This window comes from Homo sapiens, chromosome 7 (genome assembly GCF_000001405.40).
Source record: "Homo sapiens chromosome 7, GRCh38.p14 Primary Assembly".
In the NCBI taxonomy this organism is placed as follows: Eukaryota; Metazoa; Chordata; class Mammalia; order Primates; family Hominidae; genus Homo; species Homo sapiens.
The window spans coordinates 28,588,778-28,609,573 of NC_000007.14; the positions used below are offsets into that span (position 1 = coordinate 28,588,778).

Sequence of the window (20,796 nt, forward strand, 5' to 3'; positions counted from 1 at the left end):
CTGCTGTATTTTCTTACCTATTTTTGGCTTCTGTTTTCTCTCGGCATGAGAATTTTTTTGAGATTGTGAATCTGGATTAGAAGTGGTCAAGCAGTTGTTCTCCAAGCCTGTTTTCCCTGGAAGGGACAACATTATTATTGGCCAGTGCTGGCTTTCTTCCCAGCAACGTAGCTCCTCTCTTCCCACCTGCCCAGCTTTCTAAATAAGTGTGGAGTCAGAAAACGAGCAGCTTAGAAATGTAAGACTCACTCTATGGTCACTTTTCCTTGACATTCTACTTTGAAACATTTCAAACACATAGAAAAGCATGAAGAATTGTATATTCGCCACCTAACATTCTACAATGGCTCTTTGCTATACTTGCTTTATCATATAGCTGTACATCTATCCATCCATCAGTCTTATTTTTTGATGCATTTCTAAGTAAGTTGCAGACATCAGTAACTTTACTCCTAACCACTTCAGCATATGTATCATTAATAGAGTTGATATTTGGGCTGGGCGCAGTGGCTCACGCATGTAATCTCAGCACTTTGGGAGACCGAGGTGGGTGGATCACAAGGTCAGGAGATCGAGACCATCCTGACTAACACAGTGAAACCCCATCTCTACTAAAAATATAAAAAATTAGCTGAGTGTGGTGGCAGGTGCCTGTAGTCCCAGCTACTCGGGAGGCTGAGGCAGGAGAATGGTGTGAACCCAGGAGGCGGAGCTTGCAGTGAGCCAAGATCACGCCACTGCACTCCAGGCTGGGCGACAGAGCGACACTCTGTCTCAAAAACAAAAACAAAAAGAAAAAGAAAACAGAGTTGATATTTCTTTGTGGTTCTTTTTGTTGCTGTTTACAAATAGCGAAATGCATAAATCTTGAGTATATTTCTGCCACTTTTCATATAGGATGTGATTTTCCTTTCTAGAGTCTCTTATTATTGAAAGGTAATCATGAAGATGAAAAAAGATTCTGTAATATCCACGGTTTGTATATTTAGGTAGTGAGTATTCCATTTTTTTCTCTGCATTAGGAGTATTTATTCAAGTGAGGAAGGAGCAGGAGAGAAAAGGGCTGTGTGAAGCTTCCATGTTAAGGGCCTCACTCTTGCAGATAAACTATGTCAGCTCCTCTACTCCCTCTGTATCATCTCCTTTGTCTTAAGTCTTTTGTTGCTGTGACAATAGGAAAGACATTATATCTGGTGGTATGGGACTCAGCTTTGTCATCATAAAACCCAAACTGAAAAAGTCAGGAAACAACAGGTGCTGGAGAGGATGTGGAGAAATAGGAACACTTTTACACTGTTGGTGGGACTGTAAACTAGTTCAACCATTGTGGAAGACAGTGTGGCGATTCCTCAGGGATCTAGAACTAGAAATACCATTTGACCCAGCCATCCCATTACTGGGTATATACCCAAAGGACTATAAATCATGCTGCTATAAAGACACATGCACATGTATGTTTATTGCAGCACTATTCACAACAGCAAAGACTTGGAACCAACCCAAATGTCCAACAATCATAGACTGGATTAAGAAAATGTGGCACATATACACCATGGAATACTATGCAGCCATAAAAAATGATGAGTTCATGTCCTTTGTAGGGACATGGATGAAGCTGGAAACCATCATTCTCAGCAAACTATAGCAAGGACAAAAAACCAAACACCACATGTTCTCACTCATAGGTGGGAATTGAACAATGAGAACACTTGGACACAGGAAGGGGAACATCACACACCAGGGCCTGTTGTGGGGTGGGGGGAGGGGGGAGGGATAGCATTAGGAGATATACCTAATGTAAATGACGAGTTAATGGGTGCAGCACACGAACATGCCACATGTATACATGTGTAACAAACCTGCACGTTGTGCGCATGTACCCTGGAACTTAAAGTATAATAATAATAATAATAATAATAATAATAATAATAAAAACCCAAACTGAAATCCAAGTTACTCTGACTTTGGAAAAGTTATAGTTAATCACTCAGTGCCTCTGTTTCTCTTCCCTAATGTGTTAAAATGAAGATATTGCCCTCCAAGCCTGTGGTGATGATGCCATAAGAACAGATAAAAATATCTGGCATATAGCAAAAGTCCTCAATGACATTATCATCATCGTTATCACTAACTACCTGCTCAATGTGTGGTTAGGAGTAAGTGTATTTTTGTGTATAGTTAATTTAGAAAGACTTTGATGTCTTTCAGATTGCCAAAGTTAATTTTTTGCAAGATCAATGAACTTTTGAGGAAATACTGAAAATGTCCCTGTTCCCCACTGTTTTAATAAACATGAGCACTGTTTAGTCTCACATAAAATGTCTACTTTTACTCCAAACAGGATGACCAACTGATTTTCCTCACCATGTCTCTATCTTGTGTCCCTGGAGTCTTAGCAAGGGAAGAGCAATGGCCAAAGGGCATCATGTTTCCTCTACACAGCTTCTGGGTCTTCCTTTGTAGCTTGAAGTCACAGAGTGATTTATTTTTCACCCAAGCATAACGCCATTCCTTCAAGCAGTCGGGCTGAGAGGAGTCCTCTCTAGCTTCTCATGTCCATTGCCCTCCATATTAAATCAGCCACAGGTTCAATTGATTTTTTTCCCCCTCTGTCCTTCCCAGGCCTCGTGTTTTATGGTGGTTTGCTTAGTACCGTGCTTGTAATACTCAGAAAACCTTTGTAGATTTGCTATGTCCTGAGACTATTTCTTAGAAACCTACACGGAGGAAGTTCAGCTCTTCCTGAGAACTAAGCCACAGTTAATTGCTGCTTCCACCTGCCTTCAGAAACAATAAGGGGAGTCCAGTTTAGGACTGGATGTTAGAAGCTACAGAAGCTCTTCCAGAAGGTGGACAGGGGCTAAGGGAGACTGGTTGTTAGTGCTATCAGAAGACCAAAAAAGGGACAATCTGAGCCCAAAGCTTTCTTTTGTATTATGTCAGGAAGGGAAGACTATATGGCCTATCTGATTGTGGGGTGTAGGAAGTGGAGGTAAGTGCCAAATCTGACTATATGCAATGCTAATATAGTACTGGTAATACTATTATATTAGTAATTTCCCAGCACTTTGTGCTTGGGACTCATAGGCTCTCTGTGTGTGCCAGACACTTGCTAGAACAGCAAGTGAAGAAGCCCTGAGGGGGTATTCTGAGATTTCCAATTGAATTGAATTTGGATAGTCATAAATTGGATGAAGCTGTAATGCAGAACCCATGGTCATTGGTTCTGAAATTAGAGCTGAAGCAATTCTGATTCCTCAGACCCTTTAAGTTAGTCTTATCAGATCAGGCCATCACAGAGCAGATAGACAGGTAAGTCTCAGAGACCTCTGAACCCAATTAAAGTTATACCACAAAGAAATCAAACTCATGTGGTTTGCATTTCAGAGAGCTACATTTGGTGGGCTGTTCCTGTTTTAATTCGGTAACCTAATGCAGGCCATGTGAACATTTGAAACGCTTTTAACAGTTAAACCAGCTCAAATAACACAAAACCAGAGCAGCAATAAAGAATGAATTAAAGCTGATTGCAACTGTGGCCAACATAATTTTTGTCTTGCAAAGAACTTTGAGGGAATAGAATGCAGAAAGAGAGACCGGTATCTCCATTTTCAACTTGGAGTAAAGCAGCAGGCGCTTTTACTTTTTTTATTTCTTAAGCAAATGTTTGAAACAGATTAACTTAGAAGGTGTATTTAAATCTTGAAGGGATTTTGGATGAGGGAGCAAGGGGGGGTTGACATCCTTTTGAACTGAGAATATGGTAGTTAGTGGCTCTACATCACCCCCACGCAGCTGGGATGGTTAGCTCAGTGGGCAGAGGCGCAGCACTAAGTTTGCAGAGGTCAAGAGTTCAAACATGCATGGATCAGTTAGTCTCATATGGAGGAGGTGGAGAAGCAAAACCTGTTCAAGTGCCGTGGCCTGTTCTTCCCAAATGTCTACAAAAGGGTCACCAAGAAGTGAGAGGCTGAGATAACAATAGTGATCAGTTGATGTGTTCTATGTGCCAGGCCCTGTATTAGGTGCAGTCAGTGCCAGCACATAATAACCTACTTACCAAATCCCTCTGTGTCTCCGTTTTCTTATTTGTAAAATAGGGATACTATTATGATTCCTATTTCACAGATGAGGAGACTTCGGCACAGAGAGGTTAAGTTACTTGCCCAAGGTCATGTAAATCATAAATGGCAAGACCAGCATTCAAACCCAAGTAGTGGGGTGTGCATGGCACAACCACAGCATATCGCTCTAGCAGGTCAAACCACTCAAAGATAAATCCAGTTGCAGATAATGAGGGCACATGGCATAAGCCTCAACCTGAGTTATTGGTCCCATGCCAAGAAAGAATTAACCATGATGATAACCACACTCACACATATCACAGCATGAGGTGTGTGTACCACCATAGCTACTCAATTTGTGTCGGTTGAATCAAGTTTTTTTATTTTATTGATTTTTTAAAAGATTTTTATTTTATTTTATTTTTGAGACACAGTCTTGCTCTGTTGCTCAGGACGGAGTTCAGTGGCATGATCTCGGCTCACTATAACCTCCACCTCCTGGGTTCAAGCGGTTCTCCTGCCTCAGCCTCCTGAGTAGGTAGGATTACAAGCATGCGCCACCACGCCTGGCTAATTTTTGTATTTTTAGTGGAGATGGGGTTTTACCATGTTAGCGAGGCTGGCCTCTAACTCCTGGCCTCAAGTGATCTGCCCACCTCAGCCTCCAAAAGCACTGGGATTACAGGTGTGAGCCACTGTGCCTGGCCTGAATTGAATTTTATACACACATAGAAGATGCCTCCAGAAGAATGGTTGGTGTGCTCCATCCATAAGTGGAGACATTTCTATGAATATAATCTAAAGAAATGGTGAATGAGCTTTGCATTTATTTCCACATGATCCTAGTCACTGGATGGGAGAGCAGTAGGTGTGATGAGAATACCTTGGGCCCAGCCCCTCAAGATGTGCCATAGGTGATAACTAACTGCCTGCCACATTCCCCAGAATGTGCTGACTTAGCCAGAGATCCAAGGGAGGAAGGGAGAGAGGACCCATTAATTTTGGATCCGTTAGTGACATAAAGCCTGCCAAGTGGGAAAGAGTAAAACTATAGGAAGAAACTTTATTTGCAAACTTTTGGGAGGTTATCCCCAGCAGCAGGGAGCCAAGTAACCACTGGTGGGTGAAGAGGCTCTGCTGAGCCCCTGACTTTGGGTTCCTTCCGGAGCAGCGGGAAGCTGCCTTGTCAATCACTTCTGCAGGCAAAGCCAAGTTCATCTCCCTGACTTTAGCAAATACTCCCTCAGGCCCCCTGCCCCCACCTCCCAGTGGAGGAGAAATCTGCCTCCTTTCTCCTTACAAATGAAAACTGGTGTTGATGCTACCCGCTAGACTCTCTTAGCAAAACTTAGAATTGTGAACCATATGTAAAAAGGGAAAGCTTATCACTGGTTTCTTTCTTAACCTCATAGGTGAAGTATCTTAGAATAGGTAACTGTTTTCACAGCTTCTGTTCTGTTATTGAGAGGGAGGAGTGGATTCAAACACTAGATGAATATGGTGTCTGTTCAACTTAAAGGTAAGGTAAATCTAGTTACCGCCCTCCACAACTCTGGTTTCAAGGATTACAGCCCACTTAACTCTCTTTAAGGCCTGGATAAATATAGGCTGCCTAGTCTTTCAAACATTCCTGGGGTTATTGGTCTAGTTAGAGTGAGCTTTCTAGAAAAGTTTTAAGCCCTCCTGATTCCCCCAGGCTGACTCTGGCTCATTCTGCAGCATGCCTGTGTGACTTTAACATGTCAATCACTCAACTAGACGGTGGACACATCGTGTGCTTGGAGATCAATAGACAATAAGTTAATAATTATTGAAGAGTAAATGGGGAATGGAGCAAGGCAAAATAGAATGCTGATTAAATTAAAGATAAAAATCCATTTTCTCTCTAATGAATAGTTTTCATATTAGACTCTGTAGTAGCATCTGCTTTCAGAGAACCCCACTAGAGACAGGGCCCTTCATACATGTGAGGCCCAGCTAACCAAACCCCTTGACTTCAAAGGAGTTTTTAGTTAATTCTTCCTCCTCCTTCTGTTTTCTACAGGCCACTTCCACTATACAAGGTCACATGTTTCTCTGAATTTCACCTGGTTCAGGAACATCTGTTGCCATAGATCCCCTTATACCCTGCTTCAGACCCTGAACATCCTTTGGGTATTTCTAACTTTAGTCATTCATTGAATATTTGTTGAGCCCTCCCACTCCCTGAGCCCCCACAGTGCAATGTCTGTGTTTTCCTCTATGCCTGCTACATAGTAATACAAGACCTTCACTTCTTAAAGCTAGGGTGAGCTTAATGTGGTATGGTGATTTTCCTCAACTTGCAATATTTCTCAGAAAAATCTTCCCTAGCCTTCCTAACAAAGTCATGCCCTGCTACTAGATAGTCTCATAGCAGCATGGATTTGTTCTTTGGTGGGTTGTGGTTTTATAAGTATGCGTGTAAATATTCAGTTAATGCCCATCACCCTCACTATGCCAGATGTTCCATCAGCTCAGGGATTGTGTCTGGTTTTTTTCCCTCCATCGTTTTTATAGAGCTCCGCATAGTGCCTGACATATAGTAGGTTCTTCATATATAAATGATGAATGATCAGTCAATGATCGAATTTGAAATGAAGTTTTAAATAGCTCAACATTTCTTTCTGCCTCTATCTCAAGTCCCATGGTGCACCCCTTTCTCTGGTGGATTCCATTTCTATCTCACAGTTGATATAGCAAGTACCCCACTGTGCAACTAAACAGGTCTTTTAGGGGTAAATCACTTTTAATTTTAGCCAAAGTCTGAAAGAAAAGAGGCCCCTTCTTTTTACTTCTCAACGCTTCTCACCAGCGTGGTCTTAATTTCAAAGCTGATGATGAAGACAGAGCATGGAAATGGGTCTGGCTTATGGCTCTTCTGGCAGCAGCAACTTTGGGAATAATTGAGAGATCATATTTCAGACCCATTTTGCACACCATCAAAGCAAAGTGGATAGGAACTGAGGCTTTTGAAATCAGAGGGGCCAGGCCAGTTTTCATGCTACCCCAGTTGAAGTTCTCTGGTATCTTAACCTCGGCAGACAGATATCATATGCCTCCCTCTGGTGTGGTGTTTTGGATTTCTGGAGAAATATGATATTTGGTCTCACTTTCATCGTGCTTACCATAGCACTCTAGGCCGAGACCTCCTAAATCACAGTATCATGCAATCCCCTCTAGCTGGTGAAACCTAAATGTTGGGATTTCATTGTCTTCTCCCCAAGAGGCCACCTTTTTGACCAGGTGACTCTCCTCAGTGATGATATGGTGCAATTTTTATGAGATTTTGGGATGTGAAGCAGCTCTGTAGAATGAGATAAGTGAGCAGTCCCCTAAATCAATTATGACGAGTACTCTCCCAAATCACTTTTACTAAATATTTGAGCAGTCCGGTCAGCATCAAAGTCAGAGAAGCTCTAACTCAAACAAACTGAAATTTTACTCTTTCCAAAAGACAAAAGAAAGGAGCCAACTACCCTGGATATCTCAGAACTGAATTTCTTGCATTGCATTGCATTGCATATATTAGAACAAAAGTATGATCTACACTGCAACTTATTTCCATAACAGCACTCTGGGATCCAGAAGGAGTGAGTCACAGATGCTGAGAAGCATCTCAATTGCTCATTTGAACAGTTCATATTAAATTATTGAAAGGAGAATGCACTAGAATTGTCTCTTCCTGTTTTCCTATCCAAATGAAACAAGTTCCTTTTGCTATAAGTGAAGTCTTTTGAACCAGTTAAAAGCGTGAACCTGTAGCCAGCTAGACCTGGGTCCAAGCCTGGGCCCTGCTAGTTAACTGCTATGTGACCTTGGACTTGTTTACTTTCTTCCTGCTTCAGTTACATCATCCCTAAAATGTGGATAAGCAACCAACTCACATAGATGTCATCAGAAATAAATGAGATAATACATATGTAAATTAGTTAGCCTTGTGTTCATTATAAAGATGCCAAAGTGTTAGCTATTATTATTATTGCTATTATTATTAGCACATAATAGTGATTTTCAATAGTGGGAAGGATCCCAGTTTGTTTAATGTCATGTGAACCTTAGGGCCAAGATAATACCATAGGATGCTAGTCCCATCACACTCAGTGCTTCATTTGCACTGGGACCAAGCCCATGATTTGGAATGAAACCTGACATGTGTGACGTTCTAGCCTGAGCTCAAGAGTGTGGTTAATGGATAGTTAAACCTTTCTGAGGCAAACTCAGAAATTACTAGTCCTGTTATATATTGGTTCCATTATCTCCTTGGCAGGATAAGCAGTGCAGTTCTTTTCTTTTCCCTGCTACAAAATGCAGGTTGACAGAACAATCCTGGAACCCAAGAGTTGGATAAAAATGTGAGTTGCATAAGGCCTTGCATTTGATCCTCTGTTATTGCTCTCTGATGAGGCATAGCCATTTAGCCACCAGGAGCAGCCATCCTCTCAGGAGCGACACAAGAGAAGAGCACACCTCTTTGCAAATGGAAAGCTGATCTCCTGGTCTTGGTCTCACTTATTCTGCCACAGTTGTTTTCAGCTGTCCACTGGGGACCCTGAAAAAGATGTCATTTCCAGTGCACTCTCCACCAATAAAACGTGCTAACAGTGCCCTTGGGGAATGTTTGGAGGGACTTGATTCCAGATCAGGAAAGATAAACAGTGATCTGGAGGGTCTGGTTTAGATGCAAGTCATATTTCATGCAAATAATCCTGGGAGGAGTCCAAGGTCAGTATGGATGTTTCTTTTAATTTGGTGTTGGACCAGATTGAGGTGGAATTAATGATTGATCCTCTTTGTCTCATCCTAGAATGACATCAACCTCTCTCTCAACTCTAGAGCCTCCCCAGTCTCCTGACTTTGGGCCCCTGATGAGCCACAGCTTAGCTGAATCTTTCTGGGTTCACTTGGAGAGGATTCCCTCTCGAAGTGGGGACCAGGATGGTCTCCAAAGCATGGGAGAACAAAACAGGAGTAGAGGAACATTTGTCATCAGACCTTTTCCTGCCACAGGGAAAAGAGACAATACATGGTCACTACATTTGAATTCTGAGAAGGTAGAAAATGGACCTAGAAATATATATGTATATATTTGGCAAGCTAATGTTGATTTCCCTCAAAAGGAAAAGGCAAGGAAGAGAGCTAGAACTAGGATGTATTTATGAACTTGGCACATGTAAGAGAAGACATGTGATATGGTTTGGCTGTGTCCCTGCCCAAATCTCAACTTGAATTGTTTCTCCCAGAATTCCCACATGTTGTGGGAGGGACCCAGGAGGAAGTAATTGAATCATGGGAGCTGGTCTTTCCTGTGCTATTCTCGTGATAGTGAATAAGTCTCACGAGATCTGATGGGTTTGTCAGGGGTTTCCGCTTTTGCTTCTTCCTCATTTTTCTCTTGCTGCCACCATGCAAGAAGTGCTTTTTCACCTTCCGCCATGATCCCCAGCCAGGTGGAACTGTAAGTCCAATTAAACCTCTTTTTCTTCCCAGTCTTGAGTATGTCTTTATCAGCAGCATGAAAATGGACTACTACAATGTGTGAAAGGGATGAGCAACCATTCCGAGGGCTGGGAGGGTCTTTTGTGTGTGGTGGGGTGTTTTTAAAGCTGCCATCAAGCATCTTTGGACACTTGGCCTGTGGATTATTTCTATGATCGTTAGACTTGCTTGAAGAATTATAGCAGCTTTTCATGATGCATTGGGTCATTCCTTGTGTCCCAGGTTAATTAGCACTGGTGAGTCCATTAAGCTATTGTAATATCACTCACCCCAACCTAGAACTAGTGACTGAACATCTTGTGTGCCAAACTCCATCTTTGCCTCACTCTATCCATCATTATTTTATCCCTCTGTTGAGTTGGCCTGGCTCAATTTACATTCTGTGAGGTGACCTGATGTTAAGAAGAGCGGCATAGGTAGAGCTGGTAACTTTTCCCTACAGAGTTTAGGGGGATGGACGCGGGGGAGTCTATGTTTAAAGTAAGGCAGAATTACTTCTGTGCTGTGGTGTATTTTAAAAAGCTTTCATTTTTAAACAAGGGACACCTTGCTTTTTCTTTGCTGTCTTAAGTGACTTGCAACAGGCAAAATGAAACTCATTGCTTTCCCAACTCAGTATGTTCTGATACAGAACTTCAGCTCTCATCCTGTTTTGCTGGCTGACAGATTTCAGCAAAAAAATGTTCTGTAAGAAAAAGATGTTTGCCTTTGTATAGTAAATTACATGAGATTAAAAACACTCCCTTTTCTTCCAATCGTGTTGGTAATTTGATCTGTAGGATGTGATTGAAGTTCCAGCTTTGAACTAAATTATTATAGCTTAAGCCTCTCAAAGTTTAAGTTGATTTGACATATATACAGGATATATATATTATATATCTATAACATATATAAATGTGAAAGAGAGAGAGAGCAAGAGATTGTAATGAACATGTTGTATTGCCAGATTTTATTTGGGATTTTCTTCCTGAAATAATGCTAATTATAAAAGATGGGAAAATAAGCCCATAAATACATATACTTGGATTTTATCCTTACCCACAGATTAAACTTCCATCCATGAGAGTGTCTGGAAATACCTAATAGTTTCATAAGATAGTTGCAGGCACTTTGGTCTAATAGTAAAGTGGGACTGTATGGGGGTGGAGGTGGGAAACACTGTATACAGAAGGTCCTTTGCAGACACTTCATCTGGGCAAGACAGATGCCCCATTTCACAGCATAGCCTCCGGAAACCATGCGCCCCTATGTGTATAATAAAGACACGCATAGCTCTGCACTGCTGCAAATTAGTAAAATTCCAACACCTATTTCTATCTGATGAATGAGTAACTTTAGTCCTGAAAGTTCCAGGGAGACCCAGGTGTTTTGTTTTGTTTTGTTTTGTTTTGTTTTGTTTTTTTATTGTATTAGTTAGAACCGCATCCTCTCATCATCACGTTGTCCTTTTACACAATCTAAGAAGTCAGGGACAGGCAGGATATGAGAATTGTTACACAGTGATCTTTAGGATACTATTGTCCACCCTTTTGTGATGTGACCTGCATCTATGGCAGTGTCACCTATGGCTTAATTTCTGCTTCTTATAAAGACCACAGGGGATCAATAATTGAGTTATTAAAAGCAATCATGGTGACGTTGAGAGGGTGAAGAACTCTGGGTGTAGGAGTGGGAGTGTGGTGAGGGTGGACAGCAGCACTTAGATTGTGGGGATTCCTGCTTCCCCACCGCCTTTCTTCCCACCTTCAATTCAGTACCCCCACCCTTTACATACCTGTGTCCCTGGATCTTCCTTTCTCCATGGTCCTCACAGCCTCTCTTCTTTTACACTTACCTCTCCTTGAGCTCCCTGATGTGCCTTGGTGGATTGAAGGGAAAATGCTATTTGAATGGAGGAATTGCTGAGTAGGAAATGGAGAATGGGTGCAAAAACCATCGACTGTCCTGACATCTCCTCCCGTGTCCAGCTAAACTCGCAGGCGCAAGACCTAAATTTAATCAGAGCAGACCAGCCTCACGAAGCTCAGTGAACCTGATGAGCAATTCTTACATGCAGAGTCTTTTTAGCATGGCTTTCCTGAGGATCCTTTTTGGGAGAAAACTCGCTGTAGCAGGCAAATGCTAATATTTGTTTAATTTAATTATGTGAAAACTGAGGATGGTAGGGAGGGGATGATGAGGAGGAGGGGCTGGCTAATGCGCTATTCATGGAAGAGGTAAAAATTATGCAGGCCAGACAGACTTCTGAAGATTTTCGTTTGCAGCAAGATTTGGAGTGAGGCAAAAGCAACATTTTCAGTTTATTTATATTCTATTACAAATAAAAGTTAAAATGTGAAATAATTGTACCCCTAGCACTATCCACATTGTGTCAAAGCCAAAGATATGAGGGAGCAGGGACTGGAGCTATGAAAAAGTAAGTTTAACATTTAAATACATATCCTAGGGTCTTTAAATATGTGTTTATTCCTAGAGGAGTTGTGGGACTCAGTCACTATTCAGGGAAATAAATAGCTAACCCCAGATGAACACTTTCAGCCAAGAGTTGTGACAGCCTCTTTGGCTTCCCTGCCCCCCTAAGATTTTCGTAAAGGATCATGTCAACCAATATGAGTTTCATGTATTTTTCTTTTTTTTCTCTGTCCACTTTCTAGTTGGGGGCATTCAATTAAAAAATGAGAGAGCAAAAGGACCAAAGGAAAGGAGTATGTAAAATTCTCAAGAATGGATTATCTCTCTCCAAATCATCACCATGTTGGTCTTCATCTTGGGAGAAAGTTGGACCTTCCTTCATTTCCCTTATTATTATTATTTTTTTTTTTGGAAAGGGGGGCTCCACATAGTTAGCCTCAGTAGAATCTATTTTAGTGTGGGGTGGTGGTGGAAAAGGGGATTTGTTCTACAGACATGGAAGATAACGAGAAGCAAAAATCCATAAAGGCAAGAGTATTTGGGGACAAAGAAGGGAGGAATAAGTTGGAAATGAAAAAGGCATTTGCAGGGATGGATTTTTTGTAGTTGGCAAGGTAGAGGTCGTGCAGTGTTAAGGGCATGAGCTCTAGAAGCAGCCCCTCAGGTTTGAATCCCGAACACACCATCTGCTGGATGTAGGCATGACCAGAGAAAAGGTACCTCAACCCCTATGGGCCTCAGTTTCCTCATCTGTGAAATGGAAATAATAATAGAGGCAATTTCAAAAGATATTTGTAATGTGTAGAGGAGTTAACCCACAATTATTGGGCACATGGCAAGGGCTCGTCATTTATTTGCTTTTATGTATGGTGTCTTAAAAGCTTAAAATAACAGAAGAGGAAAGACAGAATTTTACACTTGAAACTTCTGGTTGCACTGGAAACATTTCAGCATATAAAGTGGCTGAAAAAGTAAGCAAGGCAGATCAAAACCACTCAGCAGTCTTGGAGATTGTTAATTCAGTTCTTCTATCTGGAAAAAATAGATACATTTTAAAATTCTGGATTCTGTGGAAGCCATTGAAGCATTACTATAGTTAGGTTACTGAATAAAAATCTAGGACAAAAAAAGTATGTTTGGACAGAAAGCTTTTGCTAGAGGTTTTTCTAAGTACAATAAGATTAAGACATATTCTTAGGAACTTCACATGAAAGACATAAAGTGAATGTATATTTTTATACAATTAATTTCTGAATACATTATGGTGTGGTATATTTTCCTGCATAAGGGCAATCTTTTTAAATATATACTACTAATTTAATCTGTGTCAGAATTCACAAATTTGGGCTATTTTATTTATTTATTTATTTATTTTTGAAATGGTCTCACTCTGTCGCCCAGGCTGGAGTGCACTGGTGCGATCTCGGCTCACTGCAACCTCTGCCTCTTGCTTTCAAGTGATTCTCCTGCCTCAGCTTCCCAAGTAGCTGGGATTACAGGTGTACACCACCACACCCGGCTAATTTTTGTACTTATAGTAGAGCCAGGGTTTCGCCATGTTGGCCAGGCTGGTCTCAAACTCCTGACCTCAGGTGATCTGTCCACCTCGGCCTCCCAAAGTGCTGGGATTACAGTGGACTATTTTAAAATAAAGGTGTTTGCAAATGTCCTTCAGTGGGTGAATGGTTAACCAAAGTGTGGTACATTCATATTTAACCAAACTGTGGTATATTCATGTCATGGAATATTATTCAGCAATGAAAAGTAACAAACAATTGATATATATGATAACTTGTATGGACCTCAGAGGAATTATACTTAATGGAAAAAGCCAATCTCAAAAGATTATATGCTATATGATTTCATTTATATAACATTCTTGAAATGACAAGATTATAGAGATGGAGAGCAGATTAGTGGTTATCAGGAATTAGGTTTGGGTAGAGAGGCTGGAGTTGAATCTATGGGGTATCATGAGGAATCCTTGTGGTGATGGAACAGTTTTGTGTCTTGATTTGGTCATGGCTACACAAATTTACACCTGTGATAAAATTTCACAGAACTAAATATACACACTCACAAAACTGCATGTAAAATCGGTGAAATCTGAATAAACTCTGTGGATGGTACCACTGTCAATTTTCTGGTTTTGATCTTGTACTCTAATTATGCAAGATGTTACCATTGGAGGAAACTGGGTGAGGGGAACACCCAACCTCCTTGTACACTTTTTTGCAGCCTCCTGTAAATCTATAATTTTCTCCAAATAAAAAGTTACAAGAATTAAGGATTTGTTTATTTCTAATTTGAGTTTTAACTTGGTTGATTTCCACAATCCTACCATGACAAAATAAGGTAATTCCCTTACAGGCACTCATGATAATCACTCAAAAGATGGCCTAATTGGCTGACTGCTCTTTGAATGTGAGCATCCAAAGGTCAGCAACTGCATCCTATCCCCAAATTTATAAATTCAGTATACTCCACTGCTACCAGATGAGTATTCAACGGTAGAAAACTTTATGTATAATTGAATGAAATCTAAAAAAACATGCAGAATCATTTTTCCCACAGCCTTTGAGAACTTAGCCAACATGATCTGGTATGTTTGTTTTGATCACGGCCTATTTGTTGAGGCCTTTTGATCACATTGAAAGTAAAATTGGGCAGTCACTCATCTGAATCTTTGTTCCATGTCGTACCAGCTCCCCATCACTATTCCTGTAACCTTCCTATCTCAACCAGATGCAGAACAAAGAGGTGAATACATTTAGCAGGCTGTGCACAACTTGGACATCCCAACCAGGTGGAAGTTGTCTCAAAGGAGGTCTTTGTTGACAGTGGCTGCTAATGAGCAATGAGTACAATCTGAATGTGTCATACACATTGTCCACATTTTGGATTTGAATTTATTTTCCTCATTGTGGTTCAAAACCTGGTAAGCTTTATACCCCTACGCTTTAGTTCGTTACTTAGTCCGTTAGTTGGTTGGTAAGTTATAGCCAGTGGTGCTTTTAGTTTAGAAAACAGTGTGGAAGTTTTGCTGTGGATTTAGGAGTCTTTAGGTAACATAAAAGTATTCACAGAGGTGTAACCATTGCTGATGTGAGGAGAAATGTGTCCTCAAGGGATCTGTGGCTGAGAGCTGGGTTGTTTCACAAGTTTAAGGGCAGTGCTTATGTAAGAATACATGTAGCATATAGTATTTAGCAGGATGGGGTGCGTAAAAGGACACCATCCTCCGCATCTGTGTGACACTTGAAAGTTTTCAAACCAGTTCATGTGCATCTTCTAGTTTTTTCAAAATCCAGGTAAGACAGGATTTCTTTTAACAAATAAAGGGAAAAAAAGAAAATTAGAAGGATCATGACTTATTCAAGGTCACCACCACAGGAAATGAGGAATCAAGAACTATTTGTGAAGTATTGGCTTTGGTGCCCTTTTGACTAGATCTCACCACCTCTGCACACTTGATACTAAAAAAATGTGATAAATTCCATTTCTTTTTCATATTGGATATAGATATCTGAGGGAATCTATGCTTATGGTGAGATTTGGGTTTATTTTCTGCCATCATATACTTCTGTGGATGAAAGATTAATAATAACCATTTTCTTATAGAGCTAGATAATAAGAGGCAACACTGCCTACTAAATAGTGCTTGGTGCAAACATTTCATTCAGAAGAATCAAAACTTTCTTCTTCTAAATAACCACTTATATTCCAGTGGTTGGATTAACCTACTCCTTGCTTCTTTCATTGGTCAGATAATGTATCCAATTGAGGAACTTCTCTACCTAGGGCAAGAACCCAATAGATAATTTCTCAGTAAATAATAAAATAATAAATATTAAATAATAAAATAAAATAATAAGATAATAAAAGTCATGAGCACAGCCCTCTCTGTATTTCTTCTTGATGTATATCATGTTGATTGTTTTCTGTTTCTTGTCCAAGATTTTTTTTGTCCATTATGATACTATAGATCAAAATAGCCCTATCATTGGGGCCAAAATTATTTTAATTGATGTAGAAAGGTTTTTAATGACAAACATTACTCTTAAATAAAGTGTTTTTAAACTAAGTTTTTCCTTTGTTTTATTTTTAAAAAGATGTAAATGATTTAGTATTTGCATCCTACCCCAGGGACCTGGGAGAATTAATATATTCTCTTCCAGTCACTATGTGACAGCAGCTTGATGGAAACTAGAACCCAGAACTTGATGGTTTATATAAGGGCGTAGGATACAGAAAAATTTATGCCCTTTCTCATTAAAAAAAAGAGATAACATTGCACAGGAAGGTATTGAAGGACATGAAGGAACAAGAGCCTAAAAATTTTGATAATTTGGGTTCTTGTAACACTGAAATGACTTACGTAGAGAAGACCATGTCTATAAAGAACTGGATACCTTTGCCTGGTTCTGACAAGAAAAAGAAAGTATTCATATTTGGTGGACGTGGTGGTAGGTAAACTACTAATTTGTAAACATTGGAAATTTTTACTTTAAGTGAGAGCAATGTTGATAGATTCAAAAACAGCTCGTAATTGCTTTCTACTTTTGTATTTTGCCTGAATCCATCTAGATATTGTGAGAAGACCCACCTTCTCCTCTGATTCCATCACCAAGCATTTATCTCTCATTTGTTTTGTCAAAGACATGACACTTCAGGACTGTGTGGAAAAGAGTATCCAGTCTTCCTATTTTTCTATTTTTGGCCTTCATGCATGGAATTCCCTTATTTCAAAAATATCTTTTTGGGGAAACCCAAACAATGCGCTAAAATTAATACTCCAGGAGGAAATGAACTGGAGCTGACCTTCACTGCTTCCTGCTCCTTGTTTCCTGCTATTTTAACAACTTTCTCAAAAATGGCACTCGTCCATCTCTGGTCTTGTTATCAGAGTTGAAGTTGATTTCCTGCCCATGAGACAAAGAAGTGAGGGGCACAGTGCTTTGAACAAAATGAGGGGTTTCACAAAATTGAGATCAGACAAGCCAGACACAAGAGTGCTTCGGTCCTTGATTCCACTGACATGAAACCCTAGAACAGGCAAAATGTTTTCTAGTGACAGAGGCAGATCAGTTGAGCCTGGGAAGGGGGACTGGCTGCCAAAAGGCAGGAGAGAATTTTTTGAGGTGACAAAAATGTCTTATATTTTTATCATGCTGGTGGTTTCATGGGCGTATACGTTTGCTAAAACTCAACGACTGAACACTTGACGTGGATAAATTTCACTATATGCAATTTTATCTCAATAAAGTTGATTTTTTAAAAATTGCAATTAGAATAAGATTGGGAAAGCATTACTACCAGCTCTCTAATTGTCCTTTGATCTTGCCCTCAATACAGAGAAAATGGTTGTGGTAACATTTTGATAGCAACCACCACTTTTCACATTTCATAAGATTAAAATGTCCATGAAATACCACTGAAAAACAACTTGTCTCACCAAGAAAGATTTTTCCTACTTAACTAGAGTTGTTTGCATTCTGTTCTTCAAGATATATTCATGCTTGTGGGTAGAATTATTAATTTTTTACTTTACAAAAATTTATTTACAATTTTACAATTTTATTGCTGTCCTACTTATTAAAAAGTGTGAATAATTACCTGATGAGTTACCCCCACATCCTCTTGATTCAAATCACACCTTCATATGAGCCTCCTGGCAGATATTTCTGGTGTGTTTGTCCAGCCTTTGTGTGAGAACAGTCATCCATCCCTGGGAATAGGGCCCTCAGCAGTCAGAAGTGGCTCATGCCCATCTTCCCTCTGCCTCTCAGTTATAAAAGGCTCTTATCAGAACTGATTCCTACTTAGCCCCTGCAAATTCTGTTGCAGCATGGCTTTTTTATCTATATGCCCCTTTTCCTCTTTTCTTTTTAATTGGCTCAGGGAGACCATCTTATGTTACTCATACAAGATTGTCAGAAACAGATATAAGTTTATCTGGTGACAAAATGAGTGATCCTTTTGAAAAGCTAGGTTATGATTTCTCTAGTTAGGCTTCTGAGACAAATATGAAAGTTGTGGTCATATTTTGAAATTTAATTTTTAATTGACATGTAATTTTACATATTCATAGGGTACATAGTGATGTTTGAATATATATAAGGTGTAGTGATCGGAGAGGGGAATTAGCATATTCATCATCTCAAATATTTATCATTTCTTTGTGTTGGGAACATTCAATATCCTCCTTCCAGCTATTTGAAACTATATTTTATTGCTAACTCTCATCATCTTACACTGGTATAGAACACTAGAACCTATTCCTCCTATCTGGCTGTAAATTTGTATCCTTCAACAAATCTCTCCCTATCCTTCCCTTCTCCCTGCCCTTCCCAGACTCAGTATCCTCTCTTCTACTTCTTACTTCTATGAGATCAACTAAAAGTTGTAATTTTCTGCTCATCTTTTTAGACCTATTTTACAGAGAGTGTAGCTGATTGGCAACCTTTTAATTAATATTCAAGAAATCTGAGCTTGTGGATAAAACTAACCGAGAAATGTGTACAATGTGAGGCCCCAAGACTGAATGCAAGGAGAAATAGGAAGAGGAAAGCTGTTGCACAGAGTATCCCTTGAGTGGGCGTGAATGAGTGTTTGCATACACTCACTGGGGGCGGAATGAGGCCTTCCAGGCACTGGAACGTGCAAATACATCTGGAGCGTGCTCATTGACAGGAGGATCCAATCCATAATAACAAGCTGGGTTCACTTTGCTGCCATAGGAGAAAGGTGTGTGTTTCACCATTTGCCTTATGGATTTGAAAAACATTAAACCAGGTAGTATTTCAGAGTTTAAATGAAGTACACAATGCTCAGTGGTTCCAGCACCAAACTCTGGAAGTGTAGTGCATTGGAAGGAAAGTGGTTTAATGTCGTTTTATCTGTTGAACCACAAAATGATAAAGAACATTGACTCTTACCCAAAATAAGACCAGTGCCCACAGGGCTGTGTGTGTGTGTGTGTGTGTGTGTGTGTGTGTGTGTGTGTGTGTGTGTGTGTGTGTGTTTTACCATGTGCATACTTGGAAAGATAGTATTCTAACAAAGCCAGCCTTGGGAGTTGGCTTGCTTTTAAGGCTCACAGTAGAAGAGTTAAACAGAATTTCTCTTCCTCCCTCTGGCTTTCTCTGTTTTCCTCCAGACTTTGCCCTTCGAAACAAACACTGAACAGCGCCGTACATGGTGTTTCCTGGGTAATGTCATTGGCTGTGAGCTTGGTTTATTAATCGTGGCATCAGGGCACTGAGAGATCTTATATGACTTCCCCTTATACCATACAGATTTCACACCCATGCCTCTCTCTCTGTCTCTCTCTCTCTCTCTCTCACACACACTCACACACACACACACACACACACACACACACACTCTCAAACTTTCTTTGCCCTTCATTTTGGTTTGTGTCTTTCCTTACTCCTAAAGGAGAAGGCAGGACCAAGACTTTTTCCCCCTGATATGTATCCACAGGTTTCATATTTTCCCATGTTCTTTTCACTTTTCTTTTGGTTGTGAGTTTTTGATAGGGGTAGGGGTGAGGGGTGTAATAGGTAAATAAAGGACTTCAGCAGTAAAATACCAGAAAGATCCTTTTGGGAATTCTGTTTTGTTTTGTTTTTAAACAGATGGGAGAAAATTGAGTTGTTAAAGGGGAAACAGTACGTAGTTGAAACTGTTAATGAGCCTGTGGTCAGAGCCAGCAGAATTTGGTTGTTAAGGATGATGCTCTGAAACTTCATATTATTCAGTCCCAGTCTCCCTGCCTCCCTGGCTCCCACCCTTCCACCCTCCTCCCAATCTCCCTCCCCACCAGCACAGCACATTGAACAGGCTAAAGTCCAAGGCATAAGGACTTACATCAGTAACTTTAAAACTATTTTAAAAATCAGACTTCATCATTTACTCCTTCAGAAATCATTACCATACAAAACCAGGACACTGAAGTTCCTCAGACATGGCCAACTTGATGGTTGACATGTGTTGATATATGAATAATCCTTAGGCCAATAAAGGCTAATGATAGGGACTGTTGGTTTTGTGTAAGGCTAAGTATTGTCTGGCTCAAATAAGAGAAGAAGAGGATCATGACATTTCTTCTTAAATTATCTTAATTTAACAGGGAGATTTTGCAATTGTTGGCATAAATATTAACCAGTAGCGATTAGTCATCAGTGTTCATTCGTGATCTATGACCTGCTTGTATATCACGGTATATCTGTAGTTGTAATAAGAAAGTCAAAGAACTCCTCTTGGAGCTTACCATCTAAGGCAGGATGACAGAAGTACAGCTTTAAATAGCCTTGCAGATACATTTTTCTAAAAATGCAGACCTGAGGTAGGTATGTAGTCACTATTAGTGGTAAGCAACAATAATTTGAATTAATATGTAGATCTTGAATAGTAAGTTGTATGTTAAATTACTTTTTGAGAAACGTGTGCTTCTCTGACATGCATTTTAGACATGGCTTAGTTTCTTTGGGGTCCTATGTCTGTGGGGCAGTCTGTCCATTGCTTTGGACAGTGCTGGGCTGCCTAAGTTCTTTGTCTTGTTGAATTTCTGAGCCCTGACCTTACCTGCTTCCGGGCTTACTGGGGCCCTAGTACTAATGTTACATTTAACAAATGCCTGTTAAGAATAATATTTGTTAAGTGAATGTCATCCCTGGAATGGATAGAAAATATTTTGCTATCCCTTAGCCTGATGATAAAAGGTAGTTTTAAAATAGAACAATCCTCTTGCATGTATTTTTATTTTGATTTGATTTTGTCTTCAGCTTAAAGACAACTG

At 40.1% G+C, this 20,796-nt stretch overlaps 1 protein-coding gene across 11 annotated transcripts in view, besides 1 other annotated feature; it reads left to right on the forward strand.

The window, feature by feature from the left end:
* Positions 1–20,796, forward strand: part of CREB5 (cAMP responsive element binding protein 5) — a 526,574-nt gene that overhangs the window by 289,457 nt on the left and 216,321 nt on the right. The gene's annotated exons all lie outside the window — the stretch shown is intronic.
* Positions 2,267–6,488: an enhancer, noted in NCBI's record as "VISTA enhancer hs1604". NCBI's record gives its function as "enhancer in: limb[10/10] | branchial arch[10/10] | nose[10/10] | genital tubercle[9/10] | facial mesenchyme[10/10]" and the evidence as "EXISTENCE:transgenic organism evidence [ECO:0001131][PMID:17130149]".